Genomic DNA, 14588 nt, shown 5'->3' with positions numbered 1-14588 from the left:
GATCCAGCTGCAGTTAGATACCCCAGAGGGACCTCAGACTGAGCATGTCCCTCAGAGCCCACCTGGCCCACCCAAGTCTGTTTCTCCCCCTAGACGTCCTATTTCAGGAATGGCTCCATCCAGTTGCTCCACCAGAAACCTGGGGAGCCTGCTGGGTTTCACCCTCTTCCCTCCACCTGCTGCTTCCAAGTGCTCCGTCCAGTTTTCTGCCTGAAGTATCCTTTTCATTCACCTCCTTCTAATTCCATTGCTAATGTATAAGCTCAGCTATCTTGCTTTTCCTGTACCTCAGCAGCCCTAACTTTACTTCTAGCCTCTGGCCATTTGTCACCCTCACTGGGATTACTGTAATACCGCTGAGGTCGTGTCATTCTGCTTCTTGTTTTTCTTTTTCTTTGAGATGGAGTCTCACTCTGTCATCCAGTCTGGAGTGCAGTGGTGCGAACTCAGCTCATGGCAACCACCTCCCAGGTTCAAATGATTCTCCTGCCTCAGCCACCTGAGTAGCTGGGATTACAGGCATGTGCCATGCCCGGCTAATTTTTTTTTTTCTTTTTTTTAAGACAGAGTCTTGCTCTGTCGCCCAGGCTGGAGTGCAGTGGTGTGATCTCGGCTCACTGCAACCTCTGCCTCTCAGGTTCAAGCGATTCTGTTCACCTCAGCCTCCGGAGTAGCTGGGACTACAGGCACCCGCCACCACACCCGGCTAATTTTTTGTATTTTTAGTAGAGATGGGGTTTCACTGTTAGCCAGGATGGTCTCAATCTCCTGACCTCGTGGTCCGCCTGCCTCGGCCTCCCAAAGTGCTGGGATTACAGGCGTGAGCCACCGTGCCCTGCCTCTGGCTTTCTTACTGACGCAATGTTCCACCATCTGGCATGCACCCTTTCCTGCATCTTAGGTCTAGGTAAATTAAAGACATCTTTAAAGCCCCAGCCCAAATGCCTTCTCTTCCACAAAAGTATCCCTGCCAGCCTGGGCAACACAGTGAGACCCTGACTCTACTAAATAAATAAATAAATAGTTGGGCACGGTGGCATGCACTTGGGGTCCTAGCTACCGGGGGGGCGGGGGGGGGAGCTGAGGGCTGAGGCAGGAAGATCACTTGACCCAGGAGGTCAAGGCTGCAGTGAACTGTGATCCCACTTCTGCACTCCACCCTGGGTGACAGAGCGAGACTCTGCCTCAAAAAAGAAAAAGAAACAGCTGGGCACAGTGGCTCACGCCTGTAATCCTAGCACTTTGCGGGGCCGAGGCGGGTGGATCACCTGAAGTCAGGAGTTCAAGACCAGCCTGGCCAACATGGAGAAACCTTGTCTCTACTAAAGAATACAAAAATTAGCCGGGCGTGGAGGCATGCACCTGTAATCCCAGCTACCCCAGAGGCTGAGGCAGGGGAATCGCTTGAACCCAGGAGGCGGAGGTTGTAGTGAGCCGAGATCGCACCACTGCACCCCAGCCTGGGCGAGACAGATTGAGACCCTGTCTCAAAAAAAAAAAAAAAAGAGAAAGAAAAAGAAAAAAAGTGTCCCTGATTGCACGTAGATGGAAGGAATTGCCTTTCTCTGAAGGGTTGGAGCATTTTATCTAGTCCCCTCGAATGGTATCTTGGCTTAAGTACTTATGCACCTGTGTCTTCTCCCCTGCTGGACTGGAAGCATCTTAAATTCAACTCCATAAGTGGATCATTTTCTTATCACCCAAAGTGTCCAGCACATGGGTGACATAGTAGACATTTAACAAATTCAGTTAAATTCTACAAACATTTTTTGAGCACTTATACTTGATGGGTATATACCCATCAAGCTACTAGACTGAGGATTCAGAGGCAAATGAGACAAATACAGTGATCTCTGACTTCCGGGAGCTTACAGTCTAATCTAGAAGTCAGACTGGAAGACAAATAGTTACACATGTGATGACCGAGATCAATGCAGTAGGTGAACTCTTGTAAAGCAAGGGGAGGCATAGTCTTTGCAGGTCAAATGCAGGGCTGATCTTCTGCCTCTAAATGTTTATTAAGTTTTTTCTTCATATAAAAGTAACCAATGCTCTTTGTAGAAAATTTAGAAAACAGAGAAGTATAAAGAAGACAAAATATTTTGTGATTCCCATCACTCAGAAAAGCTAACATTTTGCCATATTTACTTTTAATCTCTTTGCTAACTTTGTGGAGTGACTGAAGTCTCAGATTCTTTGAACAGCCTTATTGAGATATAATTCATATGCTATAAAACTGGAGAGCCAGTCTCCATACTGGCAGGGTGGCATTCTCTCCACTCCTCCACAGTCAGATTCTCATCACAATTTGATTGAGATTTGAATTAGATTGAATCTGATGGGCACTCAAAGAGCTTAACAGGAGCATCTGTGTAGCAATGTCGAGTTCACAGCACAGTGGAGTGGAGGAGCTAAGAATCTATGAACAATAATAGCTTCAAAATAAGGTACAGAGGTCAGGCGAGGTGGCTCATGCCTACAATCCCAGCACTTCGGGAGACTGAGGTGGGCAGATTGTTTGAGCTCAGGAGTTAGAGACCAGCCTGGGCAATATAGCGAGACCTCATCTCTACAAAAAAAAAAAAAAAATTTGCCAGATGTGGTGGTGCGTAACTGTGGTCCCAGCTACTTGAGAGGCTGAGGTGGGAGGATCACTTAAACCTGGGAAGTCAAAGCGAAAGTGGCCTATGACTGTGCCACTGCACTCCAGCCTGGGTGGCAGAGTGAGACCCTATCTCAATAAATAATAGTAATAATAATAATAGCAGTAATGTGGAATGATTTAAGTTCCCTGAAAAAGCAGTAACATGGGATAAGTACTCAGAGAAAGAACTGCTTCTAGCCCAGGATGCATAGCAATTGGGATATCCTCCCTTGAACTGGGTCTTGAAGGATGAGTAGGATTTGCCATGTGGCAAACAGAACCAGACAGAAGAGGTGAGAGGTGTGGGGCAAAGAAGCCATCTAGTTTAGCTAGAGTGGAGGAAGCTGGAAGGGAAGGCCGGTTAGAAAAAGGCTGATGCAGCTGGGCACGGTGGCTCACACCTGTCATCTCAGCACTTTGGGAGGCTGAGGCGGGCGGATTACAAGGTCAGGCGTTCAAGACCAGCCTGGCCAACATGGTGAAACCCTGTCTCTACTAAAAATACAAAATTAGCCAGGTGCACCTGTAATCCCAGCTACCTGGGAGGCTAAGGTAAGAGAATTGCTTGAATTTTTGGGGGTTGCAGTGAGCCGAGATTGGGCCACTGCACTCCAGCCTGGGTGAGACTCCATCTCAAAAAATAAAAAATAAATCTTGGAGGGTTGAGGTAGGGGGTTACATATAGACCACTTTAGGGGTGACCGACTAGTCTAATCGAGATGACACTGGCTTGTATCACGGAGGGACAGTGGGAATGGAGAGAAACTGATTCAATATTTATTTTAAAGGCATAGCAAACAATAAAGGAAAAAGTTTATTCTCATATTTCTAGCTTGAGCAGCTGGTGGGACAGTAATCCCATTTACTAAGATGAGAACACTAGATGAAGAGTAGGTAATGGGGGGAAATTATGAGTTCAGTTTTAAACACATTTGAGGTGCCTGCTTTGCAGACATGTCCAGGAGTCTGCTGGACATACAGAACTGAATGTGGACAGAAGGAATTCAGACACAGGTCTGATGGCAACTAAAGTCAATAAGCTCACATGTGGCTTGTAGCTAGAAAGGGGAGTAGAAAGCTGTATAGATTTAAAAGTATAGTTTAGTTCATTTGGAAAATGAAAAGAATATAGATTGATTTTAAATGCTGCTTAAATGCGTGTGGTGGTTCACACCTGTTGTAATCCTAGCACTTCGGGAGGCCAAGGCTGGAGGATCGCTTGAGCCCAGGAGTTCGAGACCAGCCTGGCAACATAGTGAGACTCTGTCTCTACAAAAAAAAAATAAAACATAATGCTGTGTTCACGTAGTTTTATTTAGAATGGACAGTGACAGAAAAACATGCTAATCTTATCTGCCCATTTCTATTTTAGTAGGTCCTAATTTCAGAGCAAAGATTGACAGGATAAAAGCAATAGTTAACAAAGATTGGCCCACTTACATAATGAATGAAAACTGACCTCTAAGTTATATGCTGAATATGTCTTGGTTCCTCAGGTGGACCATAAATTCATGTATAAGAACCTTTTTTTTGGCCGGACACGGTGGCTCATGCCTGTAATCCCAGCACTTTGGGAGGCAGAGGCAGGCAGATCACGAGGTCAGGAGATCGAGACCATCCTGGCTAACATGGTGAAATCCCATCTCTACTAAAAATACACAAAATTAGGTGGGCGTGATGGCGGGCGCCTGTAGTCCCAGCTACTCAGGAGGCTGAGGCAGGAGAATGGCGTGAACCCGGGAGGTGGAGCTTGCAGTGAGCTGAGATCACGTCACTGTACTCCAGCCTGGGCGACAGAGCCAGCCTCCATCTCAAAAAAAAAAAAAAAAAAAATCTTTTTTATTATATGCTTCACTAACCTATACAAATAACATATTTTTAAGCACTTATTAAATAAAAGCAATAATGGAAAACTTAATTTCTATAAATTGCTAACATTACAATTAAAACCTCTGCATACTATAAACTGTGTGAAAATTTTACATGGCTTTAAAACTATCATGAGGAGTCCACATGTAATCTACCACAAAAGTACAGTTAAACTGAAATTACTTTAATCTCATTTTCATAAAAGATGTAAAATCTTTCAGATTTGTCAAAATTGTTGACACAGAACACTTAATTATCACTATGTTTAAAGTTTCCTACTTGACTTTACATAGAAAAATACTCAAGATATCACAGCATGGAAAAAGATAATCCTATTTGCCTGAAATCATCTTTAAAATCTGTGCACTTTATTATGCATCAAAAAAGGCAATTTGAATGACGACTATAGCTTTTAAAGCAAATAAACTTAAATGAACAGTTTTATTGACAAATATAACTTGAGTAAAGAATTTTACTGTTCCACTAAGAAAAACAGAATATTTGATTTCCTCGACAATGTATCAAAAATTCACCCACAGGTATTTGTCATCTGAGTCATGTGATTTCAAAGGTTTGCATTTATGTAACTATCAAATAGTATATATTTTGCTTCCCTGAATGCTGTTTCATATATTGATACTGATATATCAGGAAACAGAACTTTTCTGAAAGGCCACTTAGTTGAGATTTTCTTAAAACGCCTTTATTTCAAAATTTTAAAGACTTTTTTTTTTTTTTTTTTGAGACGGAGTCTCGCTCTGTCGCCCAGGCTGGAGTGCAGGGGCGCAAACTCGGCTCACTGCAAGCTCCACCTCCCGGGTTCACACCATTCTCCTGCTTCAGCCTCCCGAGTAGCTGGAACTACAGGCACGTGCCACCACGCCTGGCTAATTTTTTTGTGTGTTTTTAGTAGAGATGGGATTTCACCATGTTAGGCAGGATGGTCTCAAACTCCTGACCTTGTGATCTGCCCGCCTCAGCCTCCCGAAGTGCTGGGATTACAGGCGTGAGCCACCGTGCCCGGCCTAAAGATTTCATAAATACTCACTGCAGATATAACAAAAACCATTACAGTATCTTTCTCCTCGAGTTATAAGCATTGGTTTTAACAGCTAAAACAATGCAAGTTGCAGATTTCTCAAGAAGATGGTTTGAAAACTCTATAGACTACAGTATAAAATAAGGTATTGAAAATACTCTCATAAAATACGTTCTGAAAAAAATTCCAGGTTCTACCTCCTAAGAGCCATAGGATCTTGGGCAAATCAAGGGCAAATTATTTAACCTCTTTGAGATTTAGTCTCTTCATCTATAAAATGCAGACAAAAATAGTGCCTGCAAGGCAGGGCATGGTGACCCAGGCCTGTAATCCTATCACTTTGGGAGGCTGCGGTGGGAGGATTGCTTGAACCCAGGAGTTCGAGACCAGCCTGGCCAACACAGTGAGACCTCTACAAAATAAAAAATAAAAAAATCAGCTGGGCGTGGTGGCACATGCCTGTAGTCCCAGCTCCTAGGGGGGCTGAGGTGAGAGGACAGCCTGAGCCTGGGAGATTGAGGCTGCAGTGAGCCATGATCATGCCACTGCACTCTAGCCTGGGCGACAGTGAGACCCTGTCTCCAAAAGTGATTAATTAAAAGTAAAATAAAATTTAAAAATATAGTACCTGCGTTATTGGGCTGTTGGGAGGTTTAATTTTAAAATACATAAAATGCTTAGGACACTGTGAGGCATGCATGAAGTGCTCACTAAATGTTGCTCTTGGCTGTTACTAACTTATCACAACTACTTCTTTTTACAGGTCTCTGAAACTAAGACCTATACCACTGATTACTGTGTAATGAGCCTTACAGATGTCAAGGTTTTTCTGTATGTGGACAAGACACCTTTGGTCTGTATCTGGCCAAAAAGGGCAGCACAGGGAAAGAAAGAGGCAGTGAGAGTGAATATCCAAAGGGTAAGGACAAGCAGCACAGAAAGGAAGGCACAGGAATGGGAGAATTGGAGCATGGACTAAATTTCACTTACTTCCTAATTTGTTCCCAGCCATCCTGATGACTATGAGCTCCTTTCAAGAGGGCACTTGAGATTGCGTGAATGTGACCTGCTATAACTGCTGAATGTCTATACAGAGTACAAGCACCGGGCTCCCTGACAGGCAGCCATCACTGAATTTCCACTTACAATGACAACACAGCAGTAAACTTTTTTTTTTGGAGACAGACAGAGTCTCACTCCATCACCCAGGCTGGAGTACAGTGGCTCCATCTCGGCTCATTGCAACCTCCGCCTCCTAGGTTCAAGCGATTCCTGTGCCTCAGCTTCCTGAGAGCAGTAAACTTTAAACTTTAAAAATGTGGTTACAGTTATTTCACCATTTGGAATGACCTTGCTGACAAAGGTTTCCATGTTACCACCTCAACAGTGAAATGTTAAAACAAAGACAAAAGCAAAAAATGGCACAATGAATACCATGACCAGATGTTTGGGAGGTAAGGGAGCAAGAAAAGAAAAAAGTTACACATATTTTACACATATTTCTTAAAATATCTGATCCAAACCAAAAGACATAGAATATACATTTAAAACCTTATGTATTGTTTCTCTTAGCAGTTTCTGGGTTAAGGTGACAGATTTCATTTTGCTCCCTCCTGAAACCTTCTTAAAACCATACTAAAGAAATATTGTTAGTCTGGACGCAGTGGCTCACGCCTATAATCCCAGCACTTTGAGAGGCCGAGGAGGGCAGATGGCTTGAGCTCACAAGTTCGAGACCAGCCTGAGTAACATGGTGAAACCCTGTCTCTACAAAAAATGCAAAAATTAGCCGGGCGTGGTGTCACACACCTGTAGTCCCAGCTATTTGCGGGACTGAAGCAGGAGGACTGCTTGAGCCCAGGAGGTCGAAGCTACAGTTAGCCAAGATAGCGCCACTGCAGTTCAGAGCTTGGGTGACAAAGTGAGACCCTGTCAAAAAAAAAAAAATTGTTAAAGACTAACTCATAAGGATAAAGTAGGAGACACACAATTAAAAAAAAAATTCTGAAAGTAGATGAACAAGTGATTACTGCCTCAGCAGACTCAAGAAAGTCTGATCTCCAACTAAAAAGGAAGGTGAAGTTGAGAACACAATCCTCAAAACGCAATGATAACAAGGAGGGGTGTCTCTAGAATAGGGAACTGGCTGGAGCAGATTCCTAAACCATCTCTCTCCCCTTCAAGCTGCCAAAGGTCTAGTCTCTAGAGGAGGTAAACTGAGGTTCCCTGGACTGGGAGAAACCACGCTCAGTTGTGAAGAAAGGTACTGTACAGAAAACTGAGGATTTAAGTGACGATATACATAGTAAATGCTGTGTGCACAATAAATGAAGCTTTCTTCCACCACTCAGCCACCAGAATACCACCAGCAAGACCTCCATGCTTCAAGCAGGACACAGGAAAAGGCCTTTCCATGCCATCGCTCCTCTAGAGCTTACTCTCGAGGACAGACCTCAAGATACTGACAAGAGGGATTTCCCCCAATAAAAGAGACAATGAAAATCATCCAATGGTTAAGTCAAAATTGATAAGGCCCACCCACTTGCTCAGAGCTTCCAACTGGCTACAGAGTACCACGATGTTAATGAGAAGCAGAAAATTAAGAATTAATAAACATCTGAGGAAGAAATAAAAAAAAAAAAGAATAGGAAGCAGCAACTTAGAAGAAACAGACCATGCACAGAGGAGAAAAAAAAAAACCTGTCATTAATAGCCTCAGAAAAGTAAGAGAAAATACTATATCCAGGACACAGAAACAGGATTTTACTAATTTTTTTAAAGGAAGATTCTAAAAACAAAAGAGCTCTTAGATAATAAAAATATGGTAGCAGAAAGGAAAAACTGGATAGTAGGGTTGGACGACCAAGATAAGGAAATCTTAAAAACCTGAACACATACAAATACCCCAAAAAGAAAAAGAGACAAAGAGGAAAACTGGAGAGAAATGATAAGAATGTCAGAAGACCAAAATAGGAAGTCCAACGTTCAATAAAATCATAGCTCAAGATAAATACAAGAGGGAAAAGAGGAAGTTGTCAGGAGAAGTTCTCAGAATCAAACACAATTGCCAGATTGAAAACGCCCACCAAAAATACCTCGTGGATGAAAGTGGCCCACACAAGGGCGTATCACTGTAAAACTGCAGAACACCATAGACAGCGAAGATTCCGTAAGCTTCCAGCCACAAAGAATCAAGAATCAGTGTGGATTCAGACCTCTCGACAGCACATTGATAAAGTTTCTACTCTCCTTTCCATTCCCTGCTCTGACACTCATTTCATCCTACCAGATTTTTTCATGTGACCTAATTCTAAGAACTGGAAGAGGGCTTTGAAGACTTCAGAAGCTGAAGACGCAAAGTAGCCCATCCCTCTGCCCAGTTTGTTTTATTCTCCCCATTTTGGTTATTATGATTTTTTAAATCCTTTCATTCTTTTCACTCAGAAAGAGGCAAGTAATTGATTTCCTTATGAAGAGGCCAGGCAGTCCATTTTTCATGGCGTTCAGCGTGCACAGCAAATCTAAAACCATTGTCTGGCAAATGCAGCTTGCAGCCGCAATCATTTTTTTCACCAGGTAAGCCGGCTGGCGTATGTTTTTAAAATTTTATTGTTAAGTATTGTCTTTTACTGGTTAAATCAATGATAACATTCTTTACTTTGTGGTTGTGTTACTCAAAACGAGGATTTTTAACAATGATAAAAAATAAAGCTTGTTAGATCATTTTTAATGGTAATGAATTGGTTCCTGAAGATTTGATTAAAGAGAACTAGGCCAATCTAAGCAGAGTCCAAATGAGGTAGAAAGTCCATAGAGAACAGGAAAAAAGGAAGTTGTGGAACCACAGACACAGTAAAAGGAAAAAATTGGCCAGGTGCGATGGCTCACTCCTGTAATCCCAGCACTTTGGGAGGCTGAGGTCGGTGGATTGCTTGAACCCAGGAGTTTAGGCAACATGACAAAACCCCCATCTCTACAAAAAATACACAAACAAAAGACATTAGCCAGGTGTGGTGGTGTGCACCTGTATAATCCTAGCTACTTGGTAGGCTGAGGTGGGAGTATCGCTTGAACCTAGGAGGTGGAGGTGGCAGTTAGCTGAGATTGAGCCGTTGCACCCCAACCTGGATGACAGGGTGAAAGAGACCCTGAAAAAAGAAAGAAAAGAAAAAAAATTATTTAATTAAATTATTTATTTTTGTGACAAGGTCTCTTTCTGTCTCCCAAGCTGGAGTGCAATGGCATAATCATAGCTCACTGCAGCCTCAAACTCCTGGGCTCAAGGCATCCTCCTGCCTTAGCCTCCCAAAGTGTTGGGATCACAGGCATAAGCCACTTCAAGGGTAGATTTTTTTTTCTTCTTTGAAACAAGATTTGGTTCTGTCACCCAGGCTGGAGTGCAGTGGTATATTCTTGGCTCACTGCAACCTCTGCCTCCTGGGCTCAAGCAATCCTCTTGCCTCAGCTTCTCAAGTAGCTGGAACTACAGGCACGTGCCACCATGCCTAGCTAATTTTTGTATTTTTTGTAGAAAAGGGGGTGTCGATATGTTGCCCAGGCTGGTCTTGAATTACTGGGTTAAAGTGATCCACCCACCTTGGCCTCCCAAAGTGCTGGGATTACAGGTGTGGGTCACCACACCTGGCCAAAAACATGTTAAGTTTTAAAATCAAAAGAAAATCAGCAAGCCATTTTGCATATTTTTCTGGAGATATATAAATACAGATATATATAGATAGAGATAAAGATATACAGATAGATCTGGACTGGAAACCTTATGATAATATAGTATCAGTTGGGTATAACTTAAAAGGACAAAGGGAACTGATTAAAAAAGACTCAAGGCATATATATATACATACACACACATATATACATATACATATATATACATGTACATATATACATATACATACACATACATATATACATATACACATATATACATATACATATATACATATACACATATATACATATACATATATACATATACACATATATACATATACATATATATACATATACATATATACATATATATACATATACATATGTTTTCCCAATTCTTCATACCACTTTTTATTTTTATTGAGATATAATTAATTTATACACCATAAATTCACCCTTTTAAATAAGTGCACAATTTAGTGGGTTTTAGTATAGTATTCACAAGGTTGTAAAACCATCACCACTATTTAATTCCAAAACATTTTTTCTTTTTTTTTTTTTTAAGACGGAATCTTGCTTTGTTGCCCAGGCTGGAGTGCAGTGGTGTAATCTTGGCTCACTGCAATCTCCACCTCCCAGGTTCACACCATTCTCCTGCCTCAGCCTCCCGAGTTGCTGGGACTACAGATGCCCGCCACCACGCCCAGCTAATTTTTTTGCATTTTTAGTAGAAACGGGGTTTCACTGTGTTAGCCAGGATGGTCTCGATCTCCTGACCTCATGATCCTACCGCATCGGCCTCCCAAAGCGCTGGGATTACAGGCGTGAGCCACCGTGCCCGGCCAATTCCAGAACATTTTCATCACCCCAGAAAGAAGCCCCAGAATCACTGGCCCTACTCAACCATTTCCCCTCCCATTTCCTGGCAAGTATTTACTTACTTCCTGTGAATTTGCCCATTTGGGACATTCCATATAAACGAAATCATACAATACGTGATTTCACTAAACAAGATTTTTGTGTGTGGCTTCTTTCAAATAATTTTTGAAAATTGTGGTAAAGTATGCATAACATAAAATTTACACTCTAACCACCTCCCCCCCCCCCTTTTTTTTTGAGACAGGGTCTCACTCTGTCTTTCAGGCTGGAGTGCAATGGTGTAAACACAGCTCAGTGCAGCCTCAACCTCCTTGGGCTCAGGTGATCCTCCTACCTCAGTCTCACAAGTAACTAGGACCACAGGCACACACCACCACACCTGGCTAATTTTTGCATTGTTTGTAGAGACAGGATTTCTCTATGTTGCCCAGGCTGATCTTGAACTCCTGGACTCAAGTGATCCTCCCACCGTGGCCCCCCAAAGTGCTGGAATTACAGGCATGAGCTACCACACCTGGTTGTCTCTAACCATTTTTAAGTGTACAATTCAGTAGAGTTAAGTATATTCACATTGTTGTACAACCAATCTCCAGAACTTTTTCATCTTCCCAAATGGAAACTCGTACCTATTAAGCACTAACTCCCCATTCTCTCCTTCTCCCAGCCTACAGTAATCACCCTTCTACTTTCTGTCTTTACCAATTTGAACACTCTAAGTACCTCATGAGTGGAATCACACAGTATTTGTCCTTTGGTGACTGGCTTATTTCGCTTAGCATAATGCCCTCAAGGGTTCTCCATGTTGTAACATGTCGGAATTTCCTTCCAAGGCTGAATAATGTATCTGTTATATGGATCAATCACATTTGGGTTATCCATTCATCAGTTAATGCACATGTAGGCTGTTTCCACCTTTTGGTCATTGAGAATAATGCTGCTGTATACATATGTGTATACGTTTTTGCATGACCATTTGTTTGCAATTCTTTTTTGACTATATATGTATGAATAGAATTACCGGGTCATATAGTAGCTCTAAGTTTAACTTTTTGAGTAACTGCCAAAGCATTTTCCAGTGTTACATGGTTTTACATTCTCTCTAACAATACATAATGGTTCCAATTTCCCCAAATCCTCCCCAACACTTTTTATTTTTATTTTTTTTAAACATTACAGCCCTGCTAGTGAATGTGAAGTGGTATCTCATTGTGGTTTGGGTTTTAATTTTATAATATTTTAATTTTTAAAATCAAAAGAATATACTGGGGCTGGGGTGGTGGCTCAAGCCTGTAATCCCAGCATTTTGGGGGGCCAAAGGGGGTGGATCACCTGAGTTTATGAGTTCAAGACCAGCCTGGCCAACATGGTGAAACCTCATCTCTACTAAACATACAAAACTTAGCCGGGTATGGTGGCAGGCACCTGTAATCCCAGCTTCTCAGGAGGCTGAAACAGGAGAATCACTTGATCCGGGAGGTGGAGGTTGCCATGAGTCAGAATCACGTCACTGCACTCCAGCCTGAGAGGAGACTCTGTATAAAAAAAAAAAAAAATATATATATATATATATATATACATATACACACACACACACACACACACACCCACAATTATTTTCTTCTATAATATTATTTTACAAAAGAAGTCCATCACTAACACACGCTTGCATGCAAAATACAAGACACATCTAAAGGCCGGGCATAGTGGCTCACGCCTGTAATCCCAACACTTTGGGAGGCAGAGGCAGGCGGATCACTTGAGGTCAGCAATTTGAGACCAGCCTGGCCAACATAGTGAAACCCCATCTCTACTAAAAACACAAAAATTAGCCGGGCATGCTGATGGGCGCCTGTAATCCCAGCTGCTGGGGAGGCTGAGGCAGGAGAATCGCTTAAGCACAGGAGGTGGAGGTTGCAGTGAGCCAAGATCGCGCCATTGCACTCCAGCCTAGGCGACAGAGCAAGACTCCATCAAAAAAAAAAAAAAAAGTACTAAAATTAAGTTGGCAAAAATTTACATGTAGTCCTTTCTACATATAAGACATAAATATCTGACACTGAATTCATTCCTTTTATTCTCCATACAGCCTCCCCGGACAAGTCTGGCAACGATTCTGACCATCCGGCAAAACAAATTACCTTTTTCCAGTTTATGTTAGTGTCCAGCATTGGTGGGTTCCTGGTCTCACTAACTTCAAGAATGAAGCCGCAGACCCTCGCGCTGAGTGTCACAGTTCTTAAAGGCGGCGTGTCCGGAGTTTGTTCCTTCTGGTGCTCGGATGTGTTTGGAGTTTCTTCCTTCTGGTGGGTTCGTGGTCTCGCTGGCTTCAGGAGTGAAGCTGCAGACCTTGACCTTCCAGGTGAGTGTTACCGCTCTTAAGGCGACGTGTCTGGAGTTGTTTGTTCCTCCTGGTTGGTTCGTGGTCTCGCTGGCTTTAGGAGTGAAGCTGCAGACCGTCGCGGTGAGTATTACAGCTCGTAAAGGCAGTGTGGACCCAAAGAGTGAGCAGCAGCAAAATTCACCACAAAGAGCGAAAGAACAAAGCTTCCACAATGTGGAATGGGACCTGAATGGGTTGCCACTGCTGGCTGGGGCAGCCTGCTTTTATTCTTATCAGGCCCCACTCAAAATCCTGCTGATTGGTCCATTTTACAGAGAGCCGAGTGGTCTCTTTTGACAGGGCGCTGACTGGTGCCTTTACAATCCCTGAGCTAAACACAAAGGTTCTCCACCTCCCCACTAGATTAGCTAGATACAGATTGTCGATTGGTGCATTCACAAACCCTGAGCTACACACAGGGTGCTGATTGGTGCATTTATAAACCTTGAGCTAGATACAGAGTGCCGATTGGTGTATTTACAATCCCTTAGATAGACATAAAGGTTCTTCAAGTCCCCCACCAGAGTCAGGAGCCCAGCTGGCTTCACCCAGTGGATCCCGCACTGGGGCCGCAGGTGGAGCTGCCTGCCAGTCCCGCGCCCTGTGCCCGCACTTCTCAGCCCTAGGGTGGTCGATGGGACTGGGCGCCGTGGGGCAGGGGGCGGTGCTCGTCAGGGAGGCTCAGGCCACACAGGAGCCCACGGGGGCAGGGGAGGCTCAGGCATGGCGGGCTGCAGGTCCCAAGTGCTGCCCCGTGGGAAGGCAGCTAAGGCCCTGCGAGAAATTGAGCACAGCAGCTGCTGGCCCAGGTGCTAAGCCTCTCACTGCCCATGGCCGGCGGGGCCTGCCGGCTGCTCCAAGTGCGTGCCCACCGAGCCCACACCCACTGGGAACTCACGCTGGCCCGCAAGCACCGCTCGCAGCCCCGGTTCCCGCCTGCGCCTCTCCCTCCACACCTCCCCCGCAAGCTGAGGGAGCCGGCTCCAGCCTTGGCCAGCCCAGAAAGGGGCTCCCACAGTACAGTGGCGGGCTGAAGGGCTCCTCAAGCGCGCCCAGAGTGGGCGCCAAGGCCGAGGAGGCGCCGACAGCCAGGGAGGGCTATGAGG

At 43.8% G+C, this 14588-nt stretch overlaps 1 protein-coding gene across 7 annotated transcripts in view; it reads right to left on the bottom strand.

Annotated features, from left to right (window-relative positions):
• AMZ2 (archaelysin family metallopeptidase 2) overlaps window positions 1-14588 on the bottom strand; it is a 51036-nt gene that overhangs the window by 34877 nt on the left and 1571 nt on the right. Inside the window, exon 1 of one of the 7 annotated variants that reach the window (XM_047436210.1) lies at window positions 13241-13543. The exons of the other annotated variants lie outside the window; for them this stretch is intronic. The gene's annotated coding sequence lies outside the window, so the exon portion shown is untranslated. Of the gene's footprint in view, window positions 1-13240; window positions 13544-14588 lie in introns of those variants that run through there. 7 annotated transcript variants of the gene reach the window in all.

The sequence above is a fragment of the Homo sapiens genome, chromosome 17, assembly GCF_000001405.40.
Source record: "Homo sapiens chromosome 17, GRCh38.p14 Primary Assembly".
NCBI lineage: Eukaryota > Metazoa > Chordata > Mammalia > Primates > Hominidae > Homo > Homo sapiens.
This window is presented reverse-complemented; position numbering and strand designations above follow the sequence as displayed.